This window comes from Homo sapiens, chromosome 2 (assembly GCF_000001405.40).
Source record: "Homo sapiens chromosome 2, GRCh38.p14 Primary Assembly".
Taxonomy (NCBI): Eukaryota; Metazoa; Chordata; class Mammalia; order Primates; family Hominidae; genus Homo; species Homo sapiens.
The window spans coordinates 240,398,612-240,409,666 of NC_000002.12; the positions used below are offsets into that span (position 1 = coordinate 240,398,612).

The 11,055-nt window shown below is 50.9% G+C and overlaps 2 annotated features.

Moving 5' to 3' along the window:
* Positions 235 to 873: an enhancer, noted in NCBI's record as "H3K4me1 hESC enhancer chr2:241338263-241338901 (GRCh37/hg19 assembly coordinates)". NCBI's record gives its function as "activates a minimal SCP1, AML or CMV promoter by ChIP-STARR-seq in naive H9 embryonic stem cells {active_cell/tissue: H9 hESC(naive)}" and the evidence as "EXISTENCE:reporter gene assay evidence [ECO:0000049][PMID:30033119]".
* Positions 1,514 to 2,152: an enhancer, noted in NCBI's record as "H3K4me1 hESC enhancer chr2:241339542-241340180 (GRCh37/hg19 assembly coordinates)". NCBI's record gives its function as "activates a minimal SCP1, AML or CMV promoter by ChIP-STARR-seq in naive H9 embryonic stem cells {active_cell/tissue: H9 hESC(naive)}" and the evidence as "EXISTENCE:reporter gene assay evidence [ECO:0000049][PMID:30033119]".

Consider the following 11,055-nt stretch of genomic DNA (forward strand, 5'->3'; position numbering starts at 1 on the left):
TCCAGAAGTTTAAAATGCCGTATTTCACAAGTGACTGCTAATACACATGTGAACATGTTAGGACCCAAAGGCGGAAGGAGGTGCAGACATGGGAGGCGCCCACCCCTCCCTCCCTGGGCTGCTGGGGCCGGGTGGCCGGAGCCCAGCGAGACTGGCCCGGCAGGCTGGGCTTGGCCTAAGCAGAAATGGAGCCCCTCTGGGACAGCACAGCAGACCCCTCATTTTCTCCCTCTGAGCAAGGTCTGTCCAGCAGGCCACGGGGCAGCCCGCAGGCGCCAGGGTGTGGGGTGCCCCACTTCATCTTTTCACATCCACTCGGAGTGCATCCCCCCAAAACTCTGAGCGTGTGGGGCTGGTGGGGGCATTGAGGCTGTGCTGCCTCCCCAGGTCCCCCCAAAAGCGAGTGCTGGGTTCCCCCGGAGCCGCGTGGCTTTATGAGACCCTTCCCCAGGAGGTGACCTCAGCAGGGGGATCCGATGCCTGGGTGACGCCCTTTCCAGACAGCAACATCAGTGACTGGTGGGTGTCAGGGTGTGAAGCCCCAGGCCCAGCCGTGTCCAGGATGCAGACACCTGGGAAGGGAGAGGGCAGGGGTCTCGGGAAGCCTCCGGGCAGCTGTTCCCAGCCCCACCTCTCTCTGCCCACACTGCTGCCCTCACACCAGGATATGGACCCCAACGTGTCCCCAACAGGCCTCCACCCTAGAGGTGTTTCTAGACCCTGACCTAAGACACACGTCTTACCTTAGAATTGGCCGTAGTTTTATTTCTGCATTTAACTTTCTAATCCACTTAGCCTCACTTGGGTTATTATCTGAAGCTGGAATTACCCCTCCCATCCATTTGTCTGTGTTTCTGGAGCTAACAGTGGTTCCAGAAGTCACTTTCCCAGGCCCCTGGCCCTGAGGGGGCTGAGAAGGCCATCCTCCCTGTCCCCTGCCCTGCCCCCCGCTGGGCAGGGATTCTGTCCTCCTGATCTCTTGTCCATCTTTCCAGGCAGCCAGGCCCAGGCTGGTCCTGCCCTGAGGGGAGGGCAGGGGACGGGAGCAGGCAGGTTCCTCCATCCCACCCTGGAGGCCAGCAGTGAGGATGCCCTCTCCAGCTTCCCTAGCCTTCCCAGGGGTGTGTCGTTTGTAACCGGGAGGGTCGGTAAGGTGAAAGGATGGGCTGGGAACTCACCAAGTGCTGGCTCCATTCTGCCAAGGGCCCTGACCAGCGCACACCAGGGACCCACCAGCCTACAGTGAGGGCCACCCTGCTGTGACCACAACACGTCATCTTTTCATAGGAATATATCTAGAGAATGGCCTCAGTCCATAGAAGCCTGCTCTGGAAGGTAAGGGGTGATCAGGGCAGCCTGGACACAGGCCTCGGGTGCCCACCAGCCTGGACACAGGACTCAGGGACCCACCAGCCTGGACACAGGACTCAGGTGTTTAACAGCCACCTGTGGGAGGTGCAGGGCAGGCGCAGGACAGGGAAGGGCGGGGCTGGGCAGCCTCTCTTTTGGCACTGCCCAAATTTGGGAACCTTGACTAGATGCCTACCCTCTCCAGAACTGCACCTGTCCGAGGTGAGCCCACAACTTTGAGGCGCAGCCTTCCCCTCTACAAACCAGCCCTGGGCGGTGCTGCCACCAGGACAGCAGGGCTTGCGGGGCTAGAGAGAGGAGGGAGCACAGGAAAGGGCCAGGGGTTCTGTTCCAGCCACAGGCAGGGCTGGCAGGGCTCCTCTGGAGACCCCTGCCCCAGGCCCTGCCCACGATTTTTCATGTATGACTTGATTTTTTCAGCCTCAGTTTTTCCATCAGAGGATTGGGGGCCAGGTGGGGAGGGTCCCGGAGATCGAAGGGGAGAAGGAACAGGGAGATAAGGGGTCTGAGCTCTGGGACGGGCAGGTGCAGGGTCTCTGCAGCTGCTGGGTCTCTGCAGCTGCTGCACCTGCCCCACTGCCCTCAGGGACCCACAGCCCAGGAGGTGGGACGGTCGATGCCTGCCCAGACAAGGCCTGTGCAGCCAGGATGGAGGATGGCACATCAAAGGGGACAGGCTGCAGACGGGAGGTACAGAGCCCGGCCCCAGAGAGAAGGGTAGTCCCTGCAGCTGGGAGCCACCCTCCACAAGCGCCACCATCACCACACCCCCCAAGGCCTGCATGAGCCCAGAGGAGGCATACAGACCACTCCGGGCTCTGGGGAGGGCCCAGCGGGCTCTCTGCTGGGATGGGGAATGCAGCCTCGGGGCGTTTGGCTGGGTGTGTTTATGAGCTGGCGTCTGGGCGCACATCATATGAGCATGCAGGATATCCACAGGGAGGGGCCGGGGAGGGACCGTGGGTGCATGTTGTGTGTGGACATGGGTCCCAGCCCTGACCGTGCATAGGCACGCGCACAGTCATGTGGACGGCCACAGGTCATGCCATTTTGCTGGGAGGATGGAAGCTCCCAAGGGTTTCTGTGACCCCATCCATTGCCCCTCAGTCTGTAGATGAGGATCTGGGTCGGGCTGGGGGTGGATGAGTACCTTGATATCCATCCCACTGCCCACAGCAGGACCATCTCCTGGGAGTCAAGAAAAGACACCCCAACTCACCCTGGAAAGGTCAGGAAGCTGACTCTGTCCCCTAGAGCCTCAGAGGAGCAGCCATGGGACCCCTGCACCATGGGACTTCGGCCCCTCAGAGCGGCAAGGGAATTAACTTGTGCTGTTTTAAGCCACTGGTTTGAGGGTCGCTTATTACAGCAGCCCTAGGAAACTCGAACAGTGGCCGGCTACGAATCCTGTGCCCATGGAGCGGGGTGCGGGAACCCCTGTGCCCACGGAGCAGGGGTCTATGAACCCCTGTGCCCACGGAGTGGGGTGCTTGGAAACCCTGTACCCACGGAGCGGGGGGCAGGAAACCCTGTGCCCACAGAGCGGGAGGAGGCAGGGGCGTCATTTCTCAGAGGAAGGCAGTGCAGCAGCAACCCTCCCACCAGCAGCCACAGCCCTGTGCATCTCACAGCCTCAGGGACACTGAAGCACAGCCTGTAGCACAGTGGCTGGAACCTCAGACTGATCCCAAAGATCCCCTCTGTGTCTGTCTCTCTGTCCCCATCTTCCTCCCAGAGGCAGTTCTGGGCCCAGGTATTTAATCAGAGTCCAGGAGAGGGGGTGAAAACTTCCCTCAGAGGAGCCCAACACCTAACGTGGAGCCTCCGACCAGCAAAAAGCAGACGCCACCCCACACCCGGGATCCCCGCAAGAAGGGGCGGGAGCCCAGGGCCTGGGAGAAGAAGGAGAAGAAGGAGCTCTTTAGAGACAAGGCCCTTCCTCTCCCAGCACTCTTCATTCCAAGTCCAGGGGGGAGGCACCCGCTGCTCCCCAGACAGTGCCCACCCCGCCCGGCAAAGCCCTGACCTGGGCTCTCCAGGTCCCCGCCAGGAGGCTCGCCCACGTTCAGGTCTAAGCCTTGTGTCCCCCTGAGTCTAGCCACCTGTCTGTCTCATAGTGCAGAGGATTCAGGAGAGAACCTGCTGCTGGGGCTCCACCCTGAGGAGCGGTGCAAGGCCCCTCCCTGTCCCTGCACCCCAGGATTCCTGCACCCCACGCCCAGAGCAAGGCACACCCCTCCCCGCAGGCTGAGCTCCCCACTCTGGGTTCTGATTCCCAGCAGGAGCCCCCTTTCCTCCGTTGCCATTGCCTCTCTGCCCCCGCCTCCACCTTCCTCTGCCCCCAGCTCAGGGACCCTGCCCTGTACCAGCCGGGCCCTGGCAACTTGCCCCTCTGAGCCCCCACCTGCCCTGGCCTTTGGTCCTCCCTGACTCATTCTCATTGTGTCTTTACTGGGCTGGAAAGGGATATAGACGGTGCCTATCGCAGCCGAAGTCCTCGCTCCTCTCCTGCCCCACCCCTTCCAGATTCCAGAGGACTCAGGGGAGCCCCTCCTCACAGCCAAGGCCCCTGGCTGGATCCAAGCTCCAGCCACACCCCGACCCCAGACAGTCTCCCCAAGAACATGGCCCCCAGACCCATCAGACTCCACATTCTCCACCAGTGCCCGAGTCAGCAGAGGCCTGCCCTCAACCAAAGCCCCAGCGGATCCCCTCAGTGCGGCACCCAAAGCCCACTGGAGCCCACCTTCACCTCTCCTTCCCACCACCCATTGCCGCCGGGTCCCACAGCCTTGCTGCCATGAGCTCCCTCTGCTCAGTCCATCCTCACCTGGCCCCCAGGGCCATCCATTGTCTGAGGGGCTCAAGATCCCAGCCCCCATCATCCCCTCCTGCCCCCGCTCCCAGGAAAGGTCCTCAGTGTCTGGTCCCGTTGGGAGGAGGTGAGCCCTGTAAGTTTGCTCTTAGGATTGTGCCTGCTTCTTGGATTCAGGTGCACGGTGGCTGTGGAGGGGTGGGGGAGACCCCGGGCAGAGCTTGGTGAGAGCTGGGGTGACACGGGGCTGTGGAATCGTGTGGACCACTGTGGACTGCGGAGCCTGGCCTGGCAGGAGGCCCCGCGGAGGGTGAGTGGGAACCAGGTGCTCGGGCCTGGCTGGGAGGGGCCGCAATGGGTGCCTGAAATGAAACTGTCCAGGAAGATTCACCGTTCTGTGATTTCCTTTTCTTAGTTATAAACTTGTTTCCAAAATGAGCAGCCTCAGAAGCATAACACTTCCTGGGCATGCAGGAGCCTCGTGTGGAATCGAAGTGGTTTCGTAGGGCCCCATTTTCAAAGAAGATTAAAATTAAAGTTTGAAAGCGATTTCCAAAATGCGCAAAGTTAAAGAAACTCTGAGCAAAGTGTCAGAGATGTGGAAAATAATTCAACCCATCAAAGGCTTTCAAAAAGTCAAGAAATGATTCACGTGTTAATCCCTGCTGCGATCTTTCCCACGAAACGGCTCTTTTCTGTCAGATCATCTGTTTTATTTCCTGAATAAGGAAACCAAAGTCAAAAGTGGCTGCTCATCGTTGCTCTGTTTGCTGTGTTGGCCTCACAATATTCTGTTGTCCTGAGCACTTCCGTGAACTTCTGGGAGGTACAAGTCCTTTCTGTCAAAAGTGAAAATGTGCAGACATTTGACCCTGCAATTCTGAAAATCTCACTTCTGAAGACTGATTCTAAGGAAATCATTGTGAAAAACACATGGGCCAGGAGCATCTGTCAAATAGCAAAAAGCTAACTAGAAAGCCCTCAGCACCTGGCTGGGCAGGTGAAGAAATGACCTGCCCGCATGGTGGTTTACTTCTCGGCATTGCGGAGAGCTGCCCACGTAGTTTCAGATGCTGGCCGCGACCTCAGGTACACTCCAGCGCGGCAGCAGCTCCCAGCCCTGGGCAAGGCCCCACCGGCACCCCCAGGGAACATCTGGCAAAGTCTGGAGATGAGACGGTTCTGATAGTCTCTACTGCAGGGGAAGCTACCAGCATCCGTGGGTGGAAGCTGGGGCTGCCAAAGACCCTGCAATGCACGGGGCACCCACACAAGGAATCACTCCAGCCAAAATGCCAACAGTGCCAAGATTCAGAATCCCTGAAATGTGCATATCAAAATATCAGAATGTCACTCCCCACACTATTGACAGAGTTGAAATCTGAAAGAATTGCAATTAGACTCCCTTTCTCTATGTCATTTAATTTTCAATATTATTTGGAAAAGCAGGCCAGGCGCAGTGGCTCACACCTATAATCCCAGCACCCTGGGTGACCGAGGCAGGAGGATCACTTGAGCCCCAGAATTTGAGACCAGCCTGGACGACATGGCAAAACCCCAACTCTACAAAAAACACAAAAATTTGCCGGGCATGGTGGCCTGCACCTGTGGCCGCAACTACCCCGGCTGAGGTGGAATCACCTGGGCTTGGGAGGTCAAGGCTGCAGTGAGCTGCGATCGTGCCACCGTTCTCCAGCCTGGGGGCTGGAGTGAGACAGTCTCAAAAAAGAAACAGAGAGAAAGAAGGGAAAAACAATACAAGATTTGTCTCAAAAAAAGTAGGCCGAGCCCATTTCTCTTGAAGCTCCTGGCTCGGCCCAGGCACATACTGTAAATGACGACCCGCCCTTCCACTGCTGGGTTCGTGTCTTAAATGTTAGGATAAAAACTTGCGCCGGCTGCGCATGGTGACCCACACCTGTAATCCCAGGAGTTTGGGAGGCTGAAGTGGGAGGATTGCTTGAGCCAAGGAGTTGGAGGCCACTCTGAGCAACATAGTGAAACCCCATCTCTACGAAAAAAGAAAAGTTAGTTGGGCATGGTGGTACATGCCTGTATTCCCAGCTCTCAAGAGGCTGAAGCTGGAGGATGGCTTGAGCCCAGGAATCTGAAGTTTCAGTGAGCTATGATCATGCCACTGCACTCCAGCCTGGGTGAGAGAGCGAGACCTTGTCTTTAAAATAATAGAAAGAAAAATAACAAATTTCTTTTAAGTTACATGTGCTGAGGATGTGTTTACTTTTTTACTCCATTTTTAGTGGCCTCGCCCATTGAAAGTATACAATTCAATGATTTTAACATATTTACAGAATTGCACAACCGTCACCATAATCTGACTTGAGAACATTTTCATCATCCCCAAAAGAAACCTTGTGCCCACTGGCGGCACCCCATACCCCCGACCTTCAGCCCCCGGCAAGCGCAACGCTCCTCTCTGTCTCCTCAGGTTTGTCTACTAGGGACAGTTCGTAGCAACAGAGCCAGAGTGTACACGAGCTCTGTCACTGGGTGCCCACCCTTAGCGCCTCGTTCTCAAGGTCTGTCCACATGGCACGTGCCAGCGCTTCACTCCTTTTTATTGCCGAGTCATACTCCAGCGTATGGAGAGGCCACGTTGTACTCAATCACGTACCTGTTTATGGACATTTGAGTTGTTTCTCCTTTTTGGCTTTTATAAATAATGCTGCCAAAAACATCTGTGGACATATGTTTTCATTTCTCTTGGGCCCATACAAGTTGAGAGTCCCTTATCTGAAATACTTGAGACCTGAAGTGTTTGGGTCCTCACATGTTTTTAAGTTTTGGAGTATTTGCATTATTCTGGTAGGTTGAGCATCCTACATCTGAAAATCAGAAATTCTAATTGTTCCAATGAGCATTTCCTTTGAGCCTCATGTCATGTCAGCACGCAACAAGCTTTGAATTTCCAAGTTTGGGATTTGGGATGCTCAGTGTGTTCCTCGGATGGAGTTGCTGGGTGGTGTGGGCACCTGGTTTAGGCTTTAGAGGAACTGCCAGGCTGCTTTCCACCACAGCTGCACCCCGCCCCCAACACACATGAGGCTTCCTGTCCCTCCAAATCAGAGACAGGCCTGAGCCTTACAGGACAGTAATGCTCTTGGGATCAAGGGCTGTGGTTTTAGCTGAGTGGCCACAGCAGGCCCGGCCAGGAGAACATGCCCAACAAGCACTGGGTGAAAGTCACCAACAGCCACAGAAATATCATCATCAATAAGAAGAGCAATAACTAGACGGCAGTGCATACGCGGTTTGTGCAGCATCCTGCATAAGCCAAGGCTGCAGACCCCCACAGCCTCTGCACAGCCCCAACCCCACACCAGGCAGGCAAGGGACTTGCCGGAGGCCACAGCACAAGACAGGCTGATCAGCCTTCTGGACTTTCGGGCCAAGGGGCTGGAGGGCACTACTAGTCCCAGCTGGGCAGATGCTGCTCACAGGCCCCAGGAGGACAGTCAAGCAGAGACATGCCAACCTGGGGCTCTGGGACCAAGCTGGCCCCAGGCCCAAGCACAGCAGGAGGAAGGAATCTTTACCAAAGTAAAAGGGGCCTTGAATGATTGAAATGGCACAGTGGGTCCCAGAGAACATTGTACAGTCAGCATCAACATGTATCCTCCAACATACTTACTGGACTTCTCAAATACAGACAGAATCCTAAAGAAAGCCAGCCTCTCTCCTTCCTCCTGCCCCCTCCAAAATCAAGTCACTAATGAAGGGAAAATCTGATCAGCTTCAGACGGCAATATTCTGTTAGAAGACAGTTGAAATTTAAGTATAAAGGTGAAAAAGATTTTTTAATCATTCAAGCACTTAAGAAACACGGTTTCTATACATTCTTATTGAGAATTTACTATTGAAATGTACTACTATAAATTTCAGCCAAAGCAAGATGTAAGTAGAAAGACCATCGCAAAAAGAATGAAAATGAGCATTGAATCTATTTAATCACAGAGGTAAAATTAAAATAAACACAGAGGTTATTATGGCAAATAAGGATTTCAAACGTGAAATGTTCTCAGAACTTAGAAAAGATGTTGGCTGGGCAAGGTGGCTCCTACCTGTAATCCTTTTGGGAGACCAAAGAGGGTGGATCATTTGAGACCAGGAATTCGAAACCAGTCTGAGAAATATGGCAAAATCCTGCCTCTATAAAAAAATTCAAAAAACTAGCGGAAGGTGGTGGCACATACCTGTAGTTCCAGCTGCTGGAGGGACTGAGGCAGGAGGACTGCTTGAGCCTGGGAGGTAGAGGCTGCAGTGCGCAATGATGGGAGGATGTTAGGTGCATTGATTTCCTCATCTTTCATAGCTGAGGATATTGTTTGACGCTCGTGATATGGTGTGGATTTGTGTCTCCGCCCAAATCTCATCGAATTGTAATCCCCAGTGTTGGAGAAGGGCCTGGTGGGAGATGGCTGGATCACGGGGCAGACTCCTCCTTGCTGTTCTCATGAGAGTGATGAGTTCTCACAAAACCTGGTTGTTTAAAAGTGTGTGGCACCTCCCGCTTCACTCTCTTGTCCATGCTCTGGCCATGTAAGACGGGCCTGCTTCCCCTTCGCCTTCCACCACGATTGTAAGTTCCCTGAGGCCTCCCAGCCATGCTTCCTGTACAGCCTGTGGAACTGTGAGCCAATTAAACCTCTTGTCTTTATAAATTACCCAGTCTCAGATAGTTCTTTATAGCAATGCGAGAAGAGACTAATACAATTCCTAAATTAAGTAAAAAAGATGAGAATATGCAAAAATATAAAAGTAAATATTAAGAATTGTAATATCAATTATGACTACATAGTAAAGAAAAAAGGGAGTAGGAAAAAATAAATATTCTAATTTCATTATTGCTACTAGTAGTGAAGTAATAAATACTATTGGAAGAAATTAGGGGTTCAAATATTCTGTAGATTTGTTGATAATACTTGCACACACTGTACTCACACAAAGAAAACAAGCCACATGGTGAAAGGTTTTGGAAGGTCAAGAAACACGCATGATGGAAACATTATGGCAAAACGAAGAGCAAATGTGTCATCATATCAATGTACAAAGATGAGCTAAATGCATCTATTAGAAAAACGAGACTATAAGGATTAATCATAAAACAATACCTAACCGCCAGCTGAATATTCAGATTCAGACAGGCTGAAAATAAAATAAATAAAAGGATTGACAATGTCAGCAAATCCAAACAGAAACAAAGCAAGCAGCGGTTACAGTCTTCATACCAGGAAAGGCTGAAGTTCCGCCAAATCTCTAAACAAGACCAAGAGAGGCTGAAGGACGGTAAAGGGTGCAACTCACAGTGAAGCTACAAGAGTTGGGAATATTGCGCCCCGCAATGACATGGTATCAGCATTAATGAGGCAATGTCACCTAAGAAAGAGGAAAGGCAGGCCAGGGTACGGGAGTCTTTTCTCACCTCTCTGGGCCAGTCACAGATCAAATGGCCTAAAAATCAGGAGTATAAACGACAGAGGTAAGATCGTAAGAAAGGCCTGATTGATACCTCTTAAATGTTATGTTCTGAAAACTAAAAATTCACCTTCTTTTAAAGTCCTTCTGAAAGAGTCATAAAAATTAACATGTTGCACTGCTTAGGAAACAAATTCCAGAAATTCGAAATTATACAGTCAACTTTACGTACACAAGATATAAAACCAGAATTTACTAATACAAGCAGAAAATTAACAGTCCCTGCCTCTGCCATCTGTACGAAAAAAAAATGTACTTTTCATAAATCCCTGGGAAAATGGAAAAACCCAAACTGAAATTGCACAATATCTAGAAAACAGCAAAAAGAATAAAGTATATTATATATAGAATAATAAAAAATAATAGGATCACACGTTATTCGAATCTATAGGATACATCTAAAACTGTTCTCACAAATAAATGCTAACATTAATTAGGAAGAATAAATGAAAATAAATGCTATATGCATCCACCTCAATTTTTAAAAGAACAAAAAATATGCTACAGGAAAAAAAGGGAAATAAAATTTTTAACCTCCTAAGTAGAATTGATGGGTTGAAGAATTGGTAAAAAAATAACAAGAAATAGTAAAATAGATAAAATGTTAGAAACTCAAAAGAAAGAAATATGAAAATACACAAAAATAAGAAAAGATATGGTGAAAATAACAGAGTAACTTAAAAGAAACATAAGTAAGCAACTATCTTGTTCAACTCTATGCAAATAAATGTAAAAAAAAACAGATAAAACAGATACTCTCCTAGGCAACATAGTTTACCAAAACTTTAGTAACTAAAGAGAGATAGAAATCTGAATAGAGCACCGTAAGAAAAAGAGAGAAGTTGTCAAGCAGCTAGTTTTCCAAAAGAACCAGGCCTAGGTAATATAACAAAGGAATTCTATCAAACCCTCAAGGAACAGGGCATTCCAATGCCATTCAACAATTCTAGAGCATAGATGTAGAGGAAAAGTTCCTGAATTCTTATATAAGGCAATCATAAGATGGATTTGAAAACCTAACAAATATTATGCACAAAGATCAAGGTCTTCTATGAGTATCCATGCAAAAATCCTAAATAAAATACTGGCAGATGGAGTCCAGCACACATTTAGAATATCGACCTCCAAGAGAAGTGGGCTGATCTCAGGGGGAAGTTGCTGGCACGGTTCGTCCATGTTGAAGAAGGCACTAGATTAAATTCAACATTCATTCTCACTTAAAGTTAAAAACAGTAATGAAATAGAAACAGATGGAAGCCTCCCGCATGAGACGGAGAGGCCAGCGTTGCCCCAAACCAACGTCATGCTTAATGGGAAACCCATCCCCCAGTCACATTAAGAGTAGAGTGAAATGAGAAGGCAGCCATCAGCACTAT